The sequence below is a fragment of the Homo sapiens genome, chromosome 12, assembly GCF_000001405.40.
Source record: "Homo sapiens chromosome 12, GRCh38.p14 Primary Assembly".
Lineage (NCBI taxonomy): Eukaryota > Metazoa > Chordata > Mammalia > Primates > Hominidae > Homo > Homo sapiens.
The window spans coordinates 103,230,515-103,252,607 of NC_000012.12; the positions used below are offsets into that span (position 1 = coordinate 103,230,515).

The 22,093-nt window shown below is 36.3% G+C and overlaps 1 protein-coding gene across 9 annotated transcripts in view; it reads right to left on the reverse strand.

The window, feature by feature from the left end:
- C12orf42 (chromosome 12 open reading frame 42) overlaps nucleotides 1–22,093 on the reverse strand; it is a 516,167-nt gene that overhangs the window by 182,891 nt on the left and 311,183 nt on the right. For 3 of the 9 annotated variants that reach the window (NR_103526.2, NR_170334.1, XM_017019281.2), the window contains one exon: nucleotides 7,077–7,388. The exons of the other annotated variants lie outside the window; for them this stretch is intronic. Coding sequence is in view for 1 of the 3 variants with exons in the window: in XM_017019281.2 (XP_016874770.1) it covers nucleotides 7,340–7,388 (49 nt within the window). In the remaining 2 variants the exon portion in view is untranslated. Of the gene's footprint in view, nucleotides 1–7,076; nucleotides 7,389–22,093 lie in introns of those variants that run through there. 9 annotated transcript variants of the gene reach the window in all.

The window sequence follows — 22,093 nt, forward strand, 5'->3', positions numbered from 1 at the left end:
TTATATAGGGAAATGAATACCAGGAAACAAGAATCATAAGGACTATTTTAACATGTGTCCATCACAGAGTCATCTTCAAAGATGCCACATTTGACAAGGCCTCTTGTCTGACCCCCACTACCACTGGAGAACAATGGCCTCTCCTTCACTTATTCATTCCCGAAATTATTGAAGTTTTCCTTCTCTGTCTTCATTAATCCTACCAGCTACATAAATGTTAGTCTTCTAAAATAATTAACTTTTACTTTGTTGATTCTCTCAGTTATATGTTGATTTGCTGTTTCATTTATTTTTTGCTTTTATATTAAACATAATTTTTAAAAATTTCTTTGGACTTATGCTGTTCTGCTTATAACTTGAGTTGGATTTTTAGTTCATAATTTTTGACCTTTCTTTTTCTAGATTTAAGCATTCAAGGCTCTGCTCTAGCTATATCCCAAAAGTTTTTATACATACTGTCTTTTATTATTTATATAATATTTACAGTATAATTTCCAGTATATTTTCTTCTATACCTATGACATATTTAGAAGCACATTTTAAATTTACAAGTGTATGAGGTTTTCTAAATTATCCTTTAAAAATTGATTCTTAATTTTGTTGTGGTCTGACATATAATGTTTTCGATGGACCTCACATTTTATAGCAATTTTAGTTTTATAGCAAAATTGAGCAGAAAGTGTAGAGATTTCCCATATATCCCTGCCTTCACACATGCATAGCCTCCACCATTATCAGTATCCCCCACCAGAGTGGTACATTTATTACAACTGATAAGCTGCATTGGCACATCCTTTTCACTTGAAGTCCAGAGTTTATATTAGGGTTCACCCTCGGTGCTGTACATTCTATGGGTTTGCATGAGTTTATGATGACATATATCCACCATTATAGTAACATACAAAGTAGTTTGACTGCCTTAAGAATTCATGTGTTCTGCCTATTTATTTCTTCCTCCTCACTACCCCTCACAACCATTGATTGCTGTCTATGAAAACTTCATAGTTTTCACTTTTCCAGAATATCGTATAGTTGGAATCATACAGTATGCAGTTTTTCAAACAGTCTTCTTTCACTTAGTAACATGCATTTAAGTTTTTTCCATGTCTTTTGATGGCTTGGTAGCTCACATCTTTTTAGCACTCATCATGATACATCCATTGTCTGGATGTATCGGTCTGTTTATCTGTTCATCTACTGAAAAATAACTTGGATTCTTCCAAGTTTTGGAAATTATGAATAAAGCTGTTATACACATTCATGTGCAGATTTTTATGTGGACATAAGTTTTCAATTCCTTTGAGTAAATATCAAGAAGTGCAATTGCTGGATCATATGGTAAGAGTATTTTTAGTTTTGTAGAAAACTGCCAAACTGTCTTCCAAAGTGGCTGTACCCTTTTGCATTCCCACAAGGAATGAATGAGAGTTCCTGTTGTTCTACATCCTTGTCAGCATTTGATGTTGTCAGTGTTTCAGATTTGGCCATTCTAATAGGTGTGTAGTGGTATTTCATTGTTTTAATCTGAATTTCTCTGATGACATGATGTGAAGCATCTTTTCATATGCTCATTTGCCACCTAGATATCTTTGGTGATAAGTCTGTTTAGGTCTTTGGGCCAATTTTAAATCATATTGTTTGGTTTATATTTAATGAGTTTTAAGAATCTTTTCTGTATTTTGGATAACAGTCCTTTCTCAGATATGCATTTAGCAAATATTTTCTCCCAGTTTGTGGCTTCTCTTTTTAATCTCTTTATAGTATCTTTAGCACAGTAGAATTTTTTTATATTAATCAAATCCAGCTCACCGACTCTTTCTTTTATGGATTGTGCGTTTGAAGTTTTATCTTTAAAGTCATCACCAAATCCAAAGCCATGTACATTTCTCTCATGTTATTTTTTAAAAGTTTTGGCTGGGTGCAGTCTCTCACACCTGTAATCCCAGCACTTTGGGAGGCCGAGGCGGGCGGATCATGAGGTCAGGAGATCGAGACCATCCTGGCTAACACACGGTGAAATCCCATGTCTACTAAAAATACAAAAAAATTAGCCAGGTGTGGTGGCAGGCGCCTGTAGTCCCAGCTACTCAGGAGGCTGAGGCAGGAGAATGGCATGAAGCCGGGAGGCAGAGCTTGAAGTGAGCCGAGATCACGCCACTGCACTGCAGCCTGGGCAACACAGCTAGACTCCGTCTCAAAAAAAAAAAAAAAAAAGTTCTATAATTTTGTGTTTTACATTTATGTCTATGATACATTTTTAATTAATTTTAGTAAAAGGTGTAAGGTCTGCGTCTAGGTTCATTTTTTTTGCATTTGAAAACATTTGAATGTCCAGTTGGTTCAACACTATTCTTTCTTTAAAATAATATTTCGAAGTTTTGAGTTTTTTTATTGATACATAATAGTTGTACCTATTGGGGGGGTATATGTGATATTTTGACACATCACAAAATGTGAAATGGTCTAATCTGGTAAGTGAGATATGTGTCACCTCAAACATCTATCTTCCAATCCTGCTCTTCTAGCAACTTTGAACTATACACTAAATTAACATTGCTAACAAGACTATCTCTGCTCCATTGAGTTGCCCTTGCCTCTTCATCAAAGATCGATTGACTATATTTATGTGGCTCTATTTTTGGTCTCTCTATTCTATTTCATTGTTATATTTGTCTGTTCTTTTGCCAATACCACACTGTCTTGATTTGTAGATTTGTAGTAAGTCTTGAGGTCAGATAGTGTCAGTCCTCCAACTTTGTTCTTTTCTTTCAGTATCATGCGGGCTATTTTGCGTTTTTTGCCTCTCCATATAAACTTTAAAATAAGTTTGCCAATATCCACAAAATAATCTTTGAGGATTTTGATTGGGAATGCACTGAATCTATAGATCAAGTTGGGAAGAACTGACATCTTGACAATATTGAGTCTTCCTATCCAGGAACATGAAATAACTCTCTGTTTATTTAGTTCTTTGATTTCCTTCATCTGAGTTTTGTAGTTTTTCTCATAAAGAATTTGTGCATATTTTGTTAGATTTATACTGAAGTACTTAATTTAGGGGTAGTGCTAATGTAAATGGTATCGTGTTTTTAATTCCAAATTTCACTTATTCATTGCTGGTGTTCAAAAAAGTGATTGACTTTTATATATTAACCTTCCACCTTGCAACCTTATTAGTTCCGGGAGTTTTTTGCCAGGGGTTTTTGTCCAGGAACTTTACAGATATTTTTACAGAGACAGTCATGTCACCTACAAAGAAAGACAGTTTTATTTCTTAATTCCCAATCCATATACATTTATTTTGTTCTTATTGCATTAGCTAGAACTTTCATTATGATATCGAAAAGAAGTGGTGAAAAGAGGCATCCTTGCTTTACTCCTGCTGCTAGTGGGTAAGTACAGTATTAGCTATAGGTTAAATTGTAGATATACTTCAACAAGTTAGGGAAGTTCCTCTCTATTTATATTCTCACATAAATAGAAACTGAGAGTTTTTATGATGAATGGGTATTGGATTTTGTCAAATGCTTTTTCTAAATCTATTGATATGTTATGTAGATTTTCTCTTTTAGCCTGTTGATGCAATGGATTGCATTAATCGATTTTTGAATCCTGAGCCTTGGCATCCCTGGGATAAATCCCACTTAGTCATGGAGTGTAATTCTCTTTATACATTGTTGGTATACTAATTTTTAAAAGTTTGTTGCTTTATTCTTTATGATATATGATATGGTCCATCTATATAACTGTTGTTCATGTGCTTAGGTACAATATTCCATTTATGCCTATTAGAATAAGTGCATCAATTTTATTCTTCTCATTTTCTATATCTTATAATTTTGTGTGTGATTGTTATTCTAAAGAGATTTGTCATGGTGACTTTTTTGTGAATCTGAGGAAGTGGGAGGACTGAGGAAAGGGTTCTTAGTATTACTGTTATATTCATTGAAAAAAAATTGTTTGGGTAAGAACAATGCCAAATGGACCCTCACCCTGCTAATGCCTACTCCATTGGTACACAGCAGATCCCATTTACTGCCTAGTGTACTGGGGGATCATGGATCTCACTACATCTTACATTAAATTTACTTTCTTGGACTTTTTTCCAAAAATCACTAATACATTGGACCACTTAACTTGCTTTGTTTTCTAACCCTGTCTTGCCTTTGTTCCTTCAGTTCCCTCCTCTTCTTCTATTATAATGTCTTTCCCCAACCCACAGACACATATTAAAACCCACCAGGTCCTTTATGAGACATCTCAGGTTTTTCCTTCTGAACATATATACAGCACTTACTTTATTGCTCAGTTATGAATTGTTCTATTTTACACTGCATGATAATCTTCATGAACATACTTTCTTTCTCCTACTGGATTACTGAATACCTTGACGTCTGGAAATTAATCTTGTTCATTTTTGTAGTCCCAACATTACCGAGGAAGAATTCAATATATAAATGTTAAAAAAATATGCAAATTTCCATATTCAAATGCAAAATGTTTCATGGCAATAATTTCATTATTTAAAAATTATTTTGAAAGTGTCTATCTGCCTGAACGTCATAAGTGTTCTGAGTTACAGCAAACTAATTGTTGGATATGAATAGACTTCCATAAATACTTCTGACATTTTTATACTAATTGTTGTGTATTTCAAGACCCAGATGTTCCAGAGTTGTGCTAAAACAACTTGAATCAATTTGGCAGCTCAGTTTACACCCATGGGAGGCTTTGTGACAAGTAAAATTACATTTCCTTTTTAGCTAGATTTGTCCCTATTTTCTGTTAACTTGAACTGGCTAAAGAAACCAGGAGAGATTCAATATGAGGGTCAAGAAAACTATAACCTAATGATTGTTTTAGAAGTTTCTTTCCAACTTAAAATTTTCTTATTCCACATCCCCATTATTTCAGATGTTTTCAAATGTTGAACCAGCCTTGCATACCTGAGGTAAATACCAATCGGTCATGGTATACAATTATTTTAATCCATTGTTGGTATACTAATTTTTGGAAACTTATTAACATTTCTCTTATGATTTATAATAAAATCCATCTGTATAACTTCCTCATGTGTTTATGCATAGTGTTACATGTATGTAAGTAACTTCCCTGCACTTCAACTTATTCATCTCTAAGTGGCTTTAATAACACTTCGTGTCTGATAGTGTTGAAATGAGCATCAAAAGAGTTCATATATGCAAAGTTTCTAGAGCAGTGCCTTTCACATGGTAGTGTTTAACCACTACCACTGTATTAATATTGTGCTTGGAGATCCAACTATAACTACCTCCCATTTACATGTTGAATTTATGTTTTTAAAATAAAGCCACGAAGAAATTTGAGCTTAAGACATATGCATGCACTAACTATGGAATAACTTAGTTTAAAATTCTTGCCAACTATGGTGGTGGTTTATGTTGGCAAAATAGCTCAGAAATGCTCCTTGTGGTTCTGGAAATAAGGTAAGTCATGCAAGATAATTTCTCTGCCACATCTACAGCCCAGTTACCATTGAGGAAATGCTCTGAGATTGCACTTCAGGAACTTCCATATTTTCCAAATGTTTTATTTTTTTTCTTTATGAACAAATAAATTTTATTTAAATATTCTAATTACCTGTCACTTTTCAGAATCTTAGTCATCTACAAAGTGCATTGTGAACCTGGTGTGTATTCTAAGTCGACAACAAGTTTTGATCTTACATGTCAGAATGCTATGTTAACACTGAGATGCTTAAGCGTAAAACTGAGATAATAAATTACTGGGCCAGATTTTGCCAGATGAATAAATTCTTTCAATAACAACAGAAAATCTTGTTCCCTCAATGACTTGAAAAATGACTTGAAAAACACATCTCTGAAAACACTTACCTTGAACTCAATGAGCTGTTGATTTACCCCATGCAAGCTGCTCAGTTTTATCACCTGAAAGTGTCTTCTTTAATCATGGCTGAAATGTAGGTTTGCACTTGGATGGTATTTGTGATTATCTCAGTTCACTAAACTGCAAACCTGATTATTCTCCCAATTAAAACAGCAGTGGGTGCATATTTCTCAGCAAGACACATGGAGGGTCTTGAATGACCAAGATTTCATTTCTTTCTCAGAATATTTTATACGATTCAGTAATCAGTAAAATTGGTTCTTCTACAATGGGCCCCCTCTGTCATTAATGAGAATTAGCAAAGTTCTATTGCCTTAAAAAAAAAGTAAAGTGGTCCATTACTGTGAATGAACCTGCTTTTTTGTGTGAGGACTTCTTTTAATTTTAAGGGGGGCTTTCATGCTTTTGTGTTGTGAATTAAATCACCATTTCATGAGGTTTATCTTTGTCAAAGAAGGAAGAAAATCAATCTTTCGTTAAATCTATGAGACCAAAAATCCTGCTCACAAAAAGGACTATAGACCTGGCAGATTCAGCAGCATATCGTAGGTAGGGTGTCTAGGGAAGCATTACATCCTCATCCAATGTCTGCGCTCTGCAAAAGGTGCATTAATATTTCTTTCAAGGAAGCACTATACTTTTTAAAGTTTTAAATAGTATACAAATGTCAATATTTCTTAAGTAGCTTGTTAGCATGTTAGTTTGGCTATATTTGAGGTTAAATCTTGCCTGCTCTGAAATATATCACAGGCAATCTGGCCTAAGAGGTATAACACAACTGTAGAGTTGTTTTACAAAACTCCCTCAATATCAGTGTTGGCTGCTTTTCCTGGTGGGCTTGAATGTCTAGTCTTCAACAATGGTGTGTGTGTGGCATTGTTGGGGAGATGCTGGGATTGAGGATGGAAATGAAGAGGGGGATATCAAACCTAACTGAGATGACAGACAATATTGGCACAGTGACAAGATCCCAGGGTCTGCAGTCAGTTAGAATCCCAGCTTTGTCACTTACCCACTGTGCTCCCTTGGGCAAGTTTACTAGCTGAATCTTGGCTCATTATTTGTAAAATAGACATAATACTGAATGTATGGGGTAGTTCAGAAGATCTTTGATAATTCGCCTGTTTATCACATAGCAGGTGTATTGGTTAGCTTTTAATGCATAACAAACCAACTCAAACTCTGTGACGTGCAATAAAAATTCATTTGTTTATTCCTGAATCTGAAATTTGGCAATTTAGACTGCACTCAGCATGGCAATTCTGGTCTTGGCTGGACTCCCCCATGCATCTGTCAACAGCTCTGCTTCTGCAGTTACTGGGGTGCCTTGGCTCTCCTCCTTGTGCTTTCTCATCCTTCATTGGTTAGTGCAGACTTGTTCCTTTGGGGAAGGAAGGATTCCAAGAGAGCTAAAGGGTGGAAGGCCTCTTGAGGACCAAGGTGGTAACTGGTGCTACGTTAGTTCTATCATGTTCCGTTGGACAAAGAAAGTCACAGGAAACCTGGATTCAAGTAAAAGAGAAAGAGATTCTACCTCTTGAAGAAGAAATATGCAACATCACACTGCAATGAATGTAGATATAGGGAGGCCATCAATGCGATTAATATACTGCAGGAGGCATGTGGTGGATTGTGGCTGCCACTACAGAAAGACAAATCTGCACCCTAGAGTAGAGTATGGAGGGACATGGGACTAATATGGCCATGGCTTGATTTTGTAAGTAAAATTCTACTGAACTCCCCAGAGTAGAGTAGGAAGGGACATGGGACAAACATGGCCATGGCTTGATTTTGTAAGTAAAATTATATTGGAACACGGCTACATCCTTTTTTTTTTTTAACCTACTGTGTGTGGCTGCTTTCACACTGCAACAGTACAGCTGAATAGTTGCAACACAGATGACATGGCCAGCAGAGCCTAAAATACTATGATTCTTTAGAGAAGGAGTCTTCTCTAGAGTTTTGATACTCCAAGTATTGTCTGTGGATCAGCAGCTTTGGCATTGCCTGAGAACTTGTTGGAAATGCAGAATCTCAGGCCTACTGTACCAGAATCTTCATTCTAACAAGAATCCCCCAGAAAATGCACACTAGAGTTTGGGCACCACTGGACCAGAGAGCAGCTACACTGCTTGGATATAATCTGAGGAGTGTAGGAGTCCCAGTGGTAATTATTGAAAGGATAAACTCCAGCTGGAAAACCCAACAACTGTTGTTTCTTTGGAGCCAGCATGACTGCTGTGCTGCTTCCAGGAGCTCTGTCCATCCTTGGGAGAGATTATGCCCTTGATCTAGGAAAACAGAGGGGAATGAAGGCCCTATGAGTGCAGCACGGTGAGAAAGAGCTGTAGGATGCCCCAGTCAAATCAGTTGGCCAGGACTGAGCTCTGATTCCTGAAAGACTAAAGGAAGAGGGACCAGGGAACAGCCAGCGACGTGGTCTGAATCAAGGTGGTAGTAGCCAGTTCTATAAGCTCGATGGAGTCATAAAGGGATAAGGAATCCTAGTTAAGGGATTGACCCTGGTACTGCAGATGTCGACCATGGCTGGCAGCTGAGGAGAATTGTGGGCAACTGTGGCTGGGCCATTGGGCTTGCACTTGGGAGTGTGGCTAGTCTCTGCTCTAGTTTTCTTCTTGGGCTTTTAGTTTTTTCTCAAGGGTATATGAGTAAGAATTAGTGCATATGGGGAGTTTTTGTAAGGCTACAAATAGGCACTCTATAATATTTGGATAAAATAAAATCTTCCTCATGGATTTCTTGTGAGCATTGAGTTAATCCATGTAAAGACTTAAAATACTGCTTAAAACACATACAACGCTCATGAAATGTTACCTATTGTTATAATCATTGTCAGCATCATCATCTTTGTTGTCATCATCATGATCACCATCAGAATAAAAACTCAAAGTCATTAGGGTCCCAAGTAGCCCTTGGCATCAACTATAATCGGACTCCTTCTTATTTTTCTCCCATGTCTCACCTGTCTTCTCTCTGCACCACTCTCAGGATGTCTTTCCCTTTCTGAAAACCATCTTCCACCTCTTCCAATCCATGTGTTTTCTGGTCTTTCACAATTTTGGTTGCAACTGGCCTTGGCTTACCATTCTAAGAGTCAACCCGCTCCTTCAGCTATATTACTAGCTAGAAAATTCCCTTCGTGTTTCCTACCATAACAGAATCTCATGGGCCCTGCCTATCTTCCTGTATCAGACCATAGGTGGTTAGCTTGTTAATCTGGGATCAGTTCCCCATGAGTCAGGTATCCATCTTTGGTTCAATCAGCTGTTGAGGGGGGCAAGGGTGGGTGATTTCCCTTGGAAGTGGGTGTGCATGAATAGGTATTGAGACTTAGTCTACTCAGTACTCTTTTAAACCATGTTGGTCTGGGGATAAGGAAGGAGATACTGAAGATGCAGATGGTGACGGCTTTATTATCAGAAGGGAGGAAGGAACTAGAGACAAAGTGCTCCTGAACTTCCAGATGGAGACTGGCTTGCATCCTATCTTGGAAGAATTGTGGAAATAAATCAGAAGTAGGAAAGAGACTATATTACCAGTAAACACCACTCTGAAAATGAGACATTCAACACAGAAACAATTATAGAACTTCTACTATGGGCAAAAGATACCTTATTGGAATTCTTCATATTCAGAATTATTAACACCACTAAGCATTTACTAATATACTACATACAATAAATATTATTACTATCATATAATAAACGTCAACATTTATTAGGTGTTACCATGTGCTAGGCACTAAGATAAATCTTCACCATGTATTTCTTATTTGGATCTCACAGTAACTCTATGAGTCAATCATAGAGATCCTCAAAATGCCTCACAGACTATATAGTCCAGACATCAAGCGACCTAAACAGATGCCAGCCAGAAGTAGATAAGACGATAAGACCATACAAGGGCACATGGGTTCAACATCAGCTCTAGATATAGCTTCTATTGTCATCACCCTTAGTAAATGAAGAAACTAAAACACAGGAGAGACACATGCTAGCAAGTCATGATGCTGGGCATTTGAGGCCAGACCATCTGGTTTCAGAGTTCTCACAGCCTACCTACAACCTCCACAGCTCTGAGGAGTCACACTTGCTCCTGAAGTCATGAGAACTGAATTAATAGTGCACTCACAAGACATAAGAGTAGTTGGACTGTGTGTAGGCTTATAGTTGGAGTCTTTATTTAATGCCAGAACCGCTGTTTCCATGTCCCAGGCTAAAAGAAATGCTAATCAATTCCTACCTCAAAATTCACTCCAATATTATATTTTTTGCAACATTTCCCAAGTGTCTCTACCCTGCATGATACGCAGAATTGGAGTTATGCCATCTTTAATGCAAGGAGCACTTTACATTGCATTAAAATTATGTGAATGTACACTTCCCCAAGAAAACTGTAGGCTCCTAGAAGTCAGGGACTGTGGCTTTCTTGACTCTGTATCCTAAGCACTTAATATAATATTTAAAACACAGTAGATGCCCTGCATGTGTTGCTGAATGAATTAAAAAAATAAATGAATGGTTGATGAAACAAATTGCTCATAGCAGAATGCAATGCTCTAACATCTTTTAATCATTGTAAAGAGACAGTCAGATAAAGTTATTGTAAGAGAATTGCAAATGTCTAATTATATTTCTATTAACCTACATTTTTAGAAAAAGAGGGCATACTTATTGACAAAGAAGTTATAAAAACCATTTGGTCTCAAAACACACAATGGCATTGTTTTCAAACCTTTATGAGAAGCATAGCTGTTTTGTTTAAAAAAAAAAAAAAAAGAAAACATTTTATTAGGTTTTTCTCCCTGAGTCTTCCTTCTCCTGTCCCTGACAGCCCCCACCCCATAACAGCATACAGCTCTAAGATGCCACTTCATTTATTTAGATTCCATTTTAGTGGATTAGTCATTTACCTAATGGAGCTGGCCTCTCTTGTTCAGAAAGCAAACATATTGAAAGGTAAATACAACTGAACAGATCAAGTAACCACGTCCGGTGGCTGCACCTGCCATTTGGACCACTCTCCATGGGCAATTTGAAAAATATCTGGCAAATTTTCCTATTTACCTTATAAAAGTGGAGGAGTAGAAACAGCACTGCAACATGAGTTAGGAAATTTAGGTCACAGCCATAGCTTTGATCTTAAGTGCAATGTGACCATTGGCTGGTCATTTTCTTCTCTGGGTCTCATTGTCTTGGCTTTTAAAATAAGAGGGTTGGACTATGTTACTTATAAATGTCCTCCCAACCTTAAAATTGTATCTTCATTCATTTGATAAATATTCTCTCAAGACCCAGTCTGAGTAAGACACTTTGTAAGGCATTGTGGGAGAGACAGAGGCACAGACAACATGGCTTCTCCCCACCTCTTGGGCTTAAAACAAACGGGATCAAAAGGAAGCCTGAAAACATGTGTGTTACACTCATTTGTTTTAAGACTATTTAGCCTGTGTTATTAGTCTTTTTCAAAGAATGATTTTAAAATAAATGTATAGGCACTAAACCTCAAGGTGGTTACTAAGACCTCCAGATTTAGTGCCTATACATTTATTTAATTAAACACTTGCTGAATCCTAAGCAATTTGGAAAGTTCTTCCAAGGACAAGGTAAAGTGACAGCTTTGAGAGGAGCATTTTCTTATGGTGGATGCGTCTTTTATTCTCTTCCTTTTCATTCATTGGCTCATGGAGTCAACTACTCTTCCAAGTCTCAGAACATGAATCTTTTCTTGTCTAAGAGAGCCTAGAAAGAAACTAATTGTTAACTTTCTTCTTAAGTGCTTTCCAAATTCAGCACCAGAACTCAGCTCTGAGATCCACCTGTTGTAAGACTGGAAAAGGTAAGGACACTCTAGATTGCAGTTGTGTTTGACCTAAATTTATTTTCTTTCAGTTGTGCTATGAAACATTTTCTCAGACTTCAATTCAGCCTCAATTTTTACAATGGAAACTACTGGAATAATAGCTAAGTTGTGTTTTCTGCACTGGTAAGACCACATCAATATCCTTTTTTCAAATAAATAGTGGTTTGAACGAAAAGTTTATTGGTCTGTGAAATATTGTTTTTAATACTTCACCCTGTCTTTTTAAAAAGTTCTTTATTACATTTTTCAAATTTTTTTTCTGCTTAAAAAAATTTAAAAGGTCACAAAACACCCAAATTCTAATTTCTGAGAAGTCATTTTATCCCACTAACCATATGCAATAAAATAAGCATCAGATGTGCACTCACAAGATATTGCCACCCTAATATTTGGAATAGAAATAAATGGCAATCAAGTTGGAATAGGTGATGAAACATGTGTTTTAAGAAAGGAAAAACAATATTTTAATAATTACTTTGAAAAAAGTATATGGAAATTCAAATCAATGCAAAAACATATTTTTAGTAATTCACTTTATAAAAAGACTCAAAATAAAATATATTTCATATTAGATTTTCCCAGTGCATTGAAAGGAAGTTTGCTAATAAAAATTCCACTTAAATCCAATTTTCATGGTGCTTGTGTAATATTGAAATCATAATCTCCAGCATTATTGTCATGACTATTACTTTACTACTTGCCATTTACTTTAATATAATCATAATTAAACTCCAAATGTTATGGGAAATTTTTTTTAAGAGATAGGGTCTCACTCTGTTGTTTAGGCTAGAGTGCAGTGGCACAATCATAGTTCACTACAGCCTTGAAATCCTGGACTCAAGTGATTCTTCTACCTCAGCCTCCTGAGTAGCTGGGACTACAGGCACACACCACCATGCCCAGCTATTTGGTTTTTCTTTTTTTTCAGAGATGAGGTCTCACTATATTGCCGAGGCTGATCTCATACTCCTGGACTCAAACAATGCTCCAGCCTCAGCCTCCCAAAGCTCTGGGATTAAACGTGGTAGCCACTGTCCCTGGCCAGAAAATATTATTATATAATGTATATGAAAGTAAGTAAAAATGGGGAAATATCAAAATGATATGTAGTTGACAACATTCCCATGCTATATATGCCCCAGTCTTCACAAATACATTCACATTATCTGTATCCTTATTGTAATTATTAAAATAATTGTATCCTTATTGTAATTATTAAAATAATTTTAATTAATTAGATACTCAGGAAGTAATGCCCTGTTTTATTAAATGTCTTTTGCATTTTCCTGAAAGGCATATTAATATTATAATTATACATTTAATGATTGATGATGCCTTTCTAGTAAGTAGAAAATGCTTCTCTTTGTTAGCAAAACTCTATCCACAATAAGCTTAACAGTGTACTGGTAATTATTTGTAGTTGCTACATTTAATTTTATAAAAATGCTCAGATTTATCCCTTTTTCTCAGCTGTAGAGGACAAAGTCAGGTCACTTGTGTTTTGTCAGAAAAATGGATGTTGTCCATGGCAGTGCCAGCAAGGAAGGAAAGCAAAATAAATATGTGTTATATCTGGAAGGAAGATGTCCTTTAGGGCAGAGGCTCTCAGTGTTGGTTGCCCATTAAAATTACTTGAGGAGATTATCTAAATCCCATTCTACAGCTACACCTCATTCCAATTAAATCAGAATATTTGGCAGTGTGGCCCAGGCATCATTATTTGTTAAATTTTCCAAGGTTGATTCCAATGTTCAGCCAGGGTTAAGAACTGGAGCTACAGGGTAGGCAAGAGAAAAATAGGAATCTGACCTCAGACTGCCTTTATATGTCTCATTTCCAGTAGGTCACATTTATGTTACCAAAGAAAACATTCAGCCACCTGGATCTTCTGGACATGAACTTTCTAGTCCCATAACATGCACGGATCCTAATCCCTGGCCTGCTGGAGGCTTGGGCTGATGTCAACCTAACAAGGGCTCTTGGAGTGATTGGCAGATACCCTCTAAAAAGACAAGGGTTAACTGCTCCAAACACCCACACTGGCAGTATGGCATCTCCGAGATCACCTGTTCAAGGTGTTTTGGTCCATGCATAGGTTGGCTCAGGAATAGATGCCTAGACATAGGCAGTGATGGTACTCACTCTAAGTACTCCATGTACTAGAGGAATCTTCCCCCATGTTCAGCCTGAGCCCCTGAAGACCTGTCCTGACAGTTCTCTGTCAACTGTAAATATTCCTCTTTCCCTAAGCAGTGTTCAGCATTCTTTGAAAAAAAAAAAAAAAGAAAAATTTCTAAGTTAGTATAAAGTCTCTAAATTAGTAGCACTCTGAGCAACAATGTTGCTATGAACATACATAACTATACTATAAATAACCACATATAGAATTTCCCCTCTTTTTTATCTTGATTCCAAGGCCATACATCTAACTTATTTTTCACTTGGATACAATGTATTTTTTACTTTCTTTTCTCACTTCCTTCCTGAGCCCCTATCTTGTCATTAATGTTCTCTCCACTTCCTCAAAATCTATCCAGTGTGCCATGGACACACCATGTTTAAACTAATACTCCTGCTAAATAACCAAAGATGATTCTGAGGTACATGGACATCTCTGTAGGTCTTTTTATTTGTGGTGACATCAGAAGCACATATCTTAATTCATCTCTTTAAAGAACATACTTAAAGAGTCAACAGAAGCAAAGGGGGAAAACAAGGAAAGAAGATATTGTTGTATTATCCTATTTTCACCAAGCATCAGGAACAAATGTAATAAATAAACATCTAAAATGAATAGAATTGTTTAAGTAATCCCAGAGGATGAACAGTAATAATGTACTTTTCAAAATTTGAGCCCCATTCCAACAGTGTGACAGGTAACTAATACTATTATGTTGAGTTAAGAAAATTCAGTTGGAAACAGGCAGTGAAAAACTCACCTAGTAAAGATAAATGAACACAAGCTTCAGCGGTGGTTATTTTCTGTATAACCGTGGGCAAGATTATTAAGCTCTCTTGGTTCCAGTTCTCTTACCTGTACAATGGTAATCATTCCTGAGGGACATTATTTGTTCACAAAATAAGTACAAGCTATGGAATCACAAAGATGTGTGATTGAATTCCACTTATGTTGAACACTAGAGGAGTAATCACAGGCAAGTCAATTAACTTTTCTGAGCTTCACATTTTTCATGTAAAAAAACAGTGAAAATAAACCCTAACATAGAGAGTTATTTTTAAAATAATGAGATAACATAAATAAAATGCCTTGTTAGATGCCAGGAGCACTCTAAGCACTTTATAATTGATATTGATTATTATTTCTCAGAACACTAGGAGCTGCCACGAAGATTACTAATTGTAAGAGCCAAATACTGGGCCAAAAAATTCTTAATTTGTTCCATAAACATTTATTAAGCCTTGATACATAGAAGCCAATGTGCAGAAATAAACAAATGTATAAAACATTACTTTGCCCCAAATCAGTTATGATTTAGATGAGATATGGGACACGTATACACCTAACTATTGGACCAGGCAGTCTGTTGGCTATCAGGTGCCTGATACTTGCCCAAACCAAGCCCATTAAGATACTAGAAGGAGTGTCTAGCTAGAGCAATACAGAGGTCAGAGGGAAGAGGTAGCCTTTGAGCTGGACTTTGAAGGAGCTGGACAGGCCAACATGTGAGTGAAGGACATCCAGGGGTGACAGATGTGAATTAGTCAACAAAGTAGCCAAAATAATGGGCAAAGTTCATTTAATTTGGCCATATTTCTTTTACAAAATAGAAGTGATTGGCAGTAGTTAGCTTGCTAACCAATTATTATGAGTTATCACAAAGTTGCCAATTTGGTTCCAACTTACAGATTCAGTCATAGTAAACGGAAATAAACCAATATTTTAAAATTCAAAACATGGAAGCCCTCCATGTAACTCCAAGAAATGTTCTCTTTAAATAGTTGAAGCAGAAATATGCCATGTCATTGAGAATATCACCTCTCTCAATACCAAATCAAGTTTGTTGGGCGATTTCTTTTAAGTAAACCCAACTGGAAATCAAAGTGACTTTTACTGAGGGAAGTTTTGCTGGATAAACATTTACCATACATTAATTTACCTCTTTAGCAATTAATTATATTTTAAGAGGGCTGGATTTAAAGGATTTGGAAGAATACCAAAATATAGTCAAATGATCTTATGCCATATGACTCTGTACCATATGTGAACAAACTTAATTAAACTGATTTCAAAAAAAAAGATGTCACTGTTTGCCGACAGTGTGGATATAACCCTTGGAACCTAAACATTCCAAATATTGGAAATGAAGTCATAAAAGTAGTTCAACCGTGCAAAGATTTAATATCTTTTTAAAGACATAGACCTGAGTGAAAGGGATTATCTATTCATATGGTCAGAGTAAACAATCCACTTTGTGGCCCAACAGATGGAGGCTTTGAATCTGGGAAGGAGAAAGCAGAGAAGAATAAAAATGCAGAGCTTAAAATGACCATGGACTATGTTTTTAAAAGCTTTCTTCCCTACTCAGTGTGAGCCCAGAGGCTCATTATTGTAGGTAGAAGGAAACATAAAAATCCTTTGGGTGTGAAATTTATCAGTCTATATTATTTATTCCTAGCAGGTATGCTTCATTTTTAATATGCATAGTTAATTTTGTAAAAACTGAAATAAGATTTTCATATTTTATTTTCTTTATTTGCAATAATTTATTTCATTTTATTTTTATAAAGCTATGTTTTATAAGAAATGAAAAAGTTTCATGATTTTTAAAAAGGAACAAACTATAAAATCAGTATTTGATAAGAAATTTCAAGACTATGAATTCTCAAGTTGATTCTCACTGCAACAAGTACCATTTTTTCAAAAAAAAACCATGATCAATGGTCTTCATCTTAATATTTTGAGTTAATATTTAATTAAGATCATATTGGGAAATAGAAGTGTAAGTGTTATAGAAAAACATAAAACAACAAAGTTCTTTGCAGTTTCTCAGACTCATTCCTGCTTGAAAAAAATAGAGCCAGAACAAACTTTTTATTTGTTCTAGACCTCATAAAACAGCATGAAGCCTGGTAAATAAATTTGTCTAACATTCTGTGCATTTTATGTCAAAAAATTTTATATGTAATGAGATATTGTCTATGACATCAATATTTCTTGTACAGTTTCAAAAAGTAACTATTCATCATTCTATTTAGGGATAAAATGTTTAAATGCTATGAGATTGAAACTAATAAGCAAAAGTAAATTTCTGACCCTCTAGTGCCCAGGAATATTCCTAGGCCAGCTTGTCCTCCTCACACCCACCCCAATTCTTCTTTTCCTTTCTAATGAGTTCTTCTCCCTTTAAGATTCACTTTACTCATTGCCTTTGGTATGGGACTCACCCTAATTGCCCCTAGTCTAGCTGGGCCAAGCTTCCTGACTCCTCTGTACATGTCTCTAGTGGTTAGGCTTGTCCATACTGGTTGGGAATTTAAAGCTTTTTTAAATGGTCAGGTAGCCATAATTGAACTGTTTAAGACTTAGTTATGAAGAGAAACAGTAGCTAATAGCTATTAAATGCTCAGCAGGGGCCCAGGCACTATGCTCAACCCTTTTACATGGATGCCATTCCATTCTCCCAATAATCCTATAGGGTAGGCACTCTTATTATGCCTATTTTACCAATGAGGAAACTGAGGCTTGAAAAAGATAAGTAATACACCCAAAGTCATGATGCAAGTAATTAGCAAAGACAGAAATCACTTCAGCTCAGGTCTTTCTGCCTTCAGTCTGTTTCCTTAATCACTGTGGTGCACTTCTTTTCCTTAGGGTCTTATTCTGTGCTTAAGACCTAAAATTCCTTTGAGTTGTAAATTTGAAATTTATAAGAAGGATTTATGAGAAGAAAACTTCATTTTCTTTGTAAAACAATGAATCCATTTTTCTTAGCAAACGTTTAGCCATTATACAATGAATTGTCGGCATACACCACCAATATTCATTTACATCTATGGAAATCAACATGATTATGTTTTAACACCCACAATGCAAACATTATGGCCTGATATTACAGTAAGTCGATAGTAAAGTACTCAAAATAATTTGACTTAAACTCTAAAGCAGAGTGTTCGGAGCCAACCAATAATTCAGATAATCCACTCAAGTCAAGGCAATTATGCATTTAAAGGTTCTATGTGAAGAAAACGTTTTTAATTCAAAAATCAAGTTGTCTTTCAAATGTCGTTAAACATATTTGTTATATTTATACATATATTACATGTATAATATATTTCTGACCCCTTTGAAAAGCATAGAGACATGACAGATTGAGAAAATTCCGAAGAGTAAAGAAGTCATTAAGGAAGTGAATTTGTAGTTTTTTGAGGCAGCCTTCTGGGAATCAAATAGAAATGGAATAGGATCCTAGTCCAACACCCTCTAGCTGTGAGACCTTGCACAAACCACTTGACCTCTTTGTGTCTTAATTTCTCCATCTGTAAAAATGGTTTCTGGAAAGAATTAAATGTAATTATGTATGTGAAAGTGCCTTTCACAGTGTTTGGTATATGGTTGACTATTTTTTTAATGTTAATTCCTTTCCTTTGAAAGTTTTACATATAATTGTTGAACCCCAACTAATATTCTAGACATGGTTCATTCTCTGTGAATACATAGATTGAAGATAGAATTTGGCCTCCAAAATGGTCCACAGTTTAGTGGGTAAGAATGATCAGAAAACCAACTAATAAAACACAACATTAAATGTGTTGCCATAGAGATGACCACAGAGTGGAGGGAGGAATCAAGCTTGAGTCGGGGCCCTGAGGGAGGTCATATTAGAAGGAGACGCTTAAGATGAGTCTTAAAAGTTCAGAGGATTGGAGTTAGTTTGGGGAGGCCAATCCAAGTTTGTGAATACTCATGGAGATTAGAAGCAAGTTTTCTTTACTTATGTTTTTTCATTTAAACCTCACAACAACCCTTGAAGTTACATGTAACTGTTCTTACCTTCCAGACAATGAAAAGGCAGGACTTAAAGAGTAATTATTAATTTTTATACATATGAATAACAGAAAATAAATAAAGCTGACAATAATATGCTACCATGAGTCAAAGACAGCAAAAGATGATGGCTGACTAAGACCAGCTGGTCCAGAATCTCGACATAAGTGAAGGAAGAAACTAAAATAATTTTAGTTTCAACTCTAGACTCAGTCTAGATTTCTAAAGAGAGCAAAATCCTATTGGAAGTCCTTAGAGTAGTGAAAAATTTGGGAATAAATAAGAAAATCTCCTATTCTTACACTATCCCATATCTGTTTTCCCTGGTTCAATTCAATCCGAGAGAGAAGGCAGGCACTCACAAGAGGCCGCTGAACAAACAGGGACTACCCAGTTTCAGTACAGCACATATTAAATAAGAGAACAAACTCAAACACACAGGGCTGACAATACCAAGTGATGCAAATCAGTCTGCTTTATGTTATCATGCTGAAAGACTAATATTACCCATTCGTTAGGAAACAAAAGCCAGGGTAAGTGAGCAAACCAGTCAATCCTTAGATTTTCTAACCTTCCAGGAAAGAGTTACAAATGTCAACATTGACTCACCAGGGCTAGTTGCTATTCAAAAAGAAAGTCCTGTTTTTCCCACTAAGGTTTTTGTTCAAGTTATGACAATATTCCCTGTAGAACATCAGTTTCTGCAGTTAGACTCATGATCTTAGTTGATGCAAATAATATTTTTCCACTTTTAAGAAATCAAAGACATCTATCTATCTATCTATCTATCTATCTATCTATCTATCTATCTATCTATGTTTGATTTTCTAAAGAAGTATAGTATGTTTTACTTCTTGGAATGTCGGCTAAGATTTTTTAGGTTTAGATTAAAATGCAAGGAGGTTTATCAGCTCATATAACTGAGATAGGCCTTGCTTCAGGAATGCCTTAATTGGGGGTTCCAATTATATCACGAGACCCTGGCTTTCCTGTCTCTCAGTTTTTCTCTCTTCCATGTTGGCTCCTTTCCTATGTTGTGGTTGCAAGACGGCTTCCACAGCCCCAGAGCTAACATCTTTCACCTTCACATCCAGCAGAAAAGCACAAGCCTTTTCTCCAACAGCACCTACATTTTAAAGCCCAGAGATGCAGTACAATTGGTATAGCTTCGAACTGCACCCATCCTGAATAAACCAACCATCATGGCCACTGGGATGCAAAATGTTGCTAACCCAGGGAAAGGAAAGGGAAACAATGAATGTCCAGTGCTCTTGTTCATGAAATATTGTTCAAGAGTTCCCCCAAAGGACAGAGGGAGAGGATAAAAGCAAATTAAACTGATCTTCAAGAAATGTTAGGTGAGAAAGAGTTCACTATTCCTGTAGATGTTGACTTATAGCAGTCACGTGACTTCAACAGAAAGTTTTATTTTCTATCTTTCTTGTTTTCTCCAATGCCACTTTTTCTTGGTTCCCTTGTTCTCTAATCACTTCTCAGAATCCTTCACAAGCTTTTTCCCTCCCACCTGTTCCCTTGAGTGTAAGTGTGTTCTTTCAGGGTTCTACCCTTGAGATTCTTTTATCACTGTGTGTGTGTGTGTGTGTGCATGTGTGTGTGTGTCTGTCTGAATGAGTCCATCTACTCCCATGACTTCAAACATTACTCAAATCCATATTTCAAATTCAGACCCCTCTTTGGTAATCCTAAAGACCACCCCTTTCTGGCACTTAAGTGACAATCACTCATTCATTCATTCACCTAGTGTTTATCAAGCAACTGTGATATGCCATTCACTACTTGATATGCTAGGATGACAACAAAGCAAACTCAAGAAGTCATTCCTGACCTCATGGGCTGGTCATGCTGGCATGAAAGGCTGGCACCATCAGACACTTGGTTGCAAATTTACAGTCAATGACCACAAACAGCAACCAACTTCTACACCATCCCCCTTTCCCAACCCCACTATAGCAACTAGATGTGCCTAGCTTCCAGAGATCTCTACAAGCTTTGATTTGTCCGTTGACATCTCTTCCTCATGATGCTGGTTAGTGCCTCTTCTTTGATCCTCTAATTCCCTTACACAAACTTTAATGCCCAGCTCTTTCTGCATTGGGGAAATTCCAATTTCTATAATACATTCCTTAATCTGTATTATTCATACAGTGTTCTGCTTCCTTATTTGAACCCTGACTGAAAATTGCAGTCCTTGTGCTGAGTCTGTAACCCAAGGGTTTTATATATTAATAGCATGTTTTACATCTCCCACTATACGTTCTGTAGAAAGGACAAGAGATTGCTCAAACAAAGGAAGAGAAACTTGACCATACACCCTTATTACCTCAACTAATTTTGAACATGGCCTGCATAGTATGACACCTACTAGGACTTAAAGTACCAGTATTGGTCATGAAAATCCTTCACATTTACAGTGTTTCATAATTTTTAAATGCTTTCATATATATCAATTAATCTTCACAACTGCTACAAGTGATTGTTTATTGCTACGCACTGTATTCACTGCACTAGATCAGACACTATATATAAGCATATAAGACCTTCACCATGTAATGAAATAAAAATATAAATTTTCTTAACACTGACCACCAAGGTGTCTTTTAAGACAGAAATTACTTGGGGGCAGGAGGTATATTGATAAACAATTTATTTTATTTTATTTTACTTTAAGTTCTGGGATACATGTGCTGAATATGCAGGTTTGTTACGTAGGTATACATGTGCCATGGTGGTTTGCTGCACCTATCAACTCATCATCTAGGTTTTAAGCCCTGCATGCATAAGGTATTTGTCCTAATGCTCTCTCTCCCCCCAAAAATTCTTTTTTATGGCTGCATAGTATTCCATGGTGTATATGTGCCACATTTTCTTTATCCAGTCTATAATTGACGGGTATTTGGGTAGGTTCCAAGTCCTTGATATTGTAAATAGTGCTGCAATAAACATATGTGTGCATAGGTCTTTATAGTAGAATTATTTATAATCCTTTGGGTATGTACCCAGTAATGGGATTGCTGGGTTAAATGGTACTTCTGGTTCTATATCCTTGAGGAATTGCCACACTGTCTTCCACAATGGCTGAACTAATTTACACTCCTACCAACAGTGTAAAAGCATTCCTATTTCTCCACATCCTCCCCATCATCTGTTGTCTCCTGACTTTTTAATGATCACCATTCTAACTGGTGTGAGATGGTATCCCATTGCAGTTTTGATTTGCATGTTGCTAATGACCAGTGATGATGAGCTGTTTTTCATATGTTTGTTGGCCACATAGATGTCTTCTTTTGAGAAGTGTCT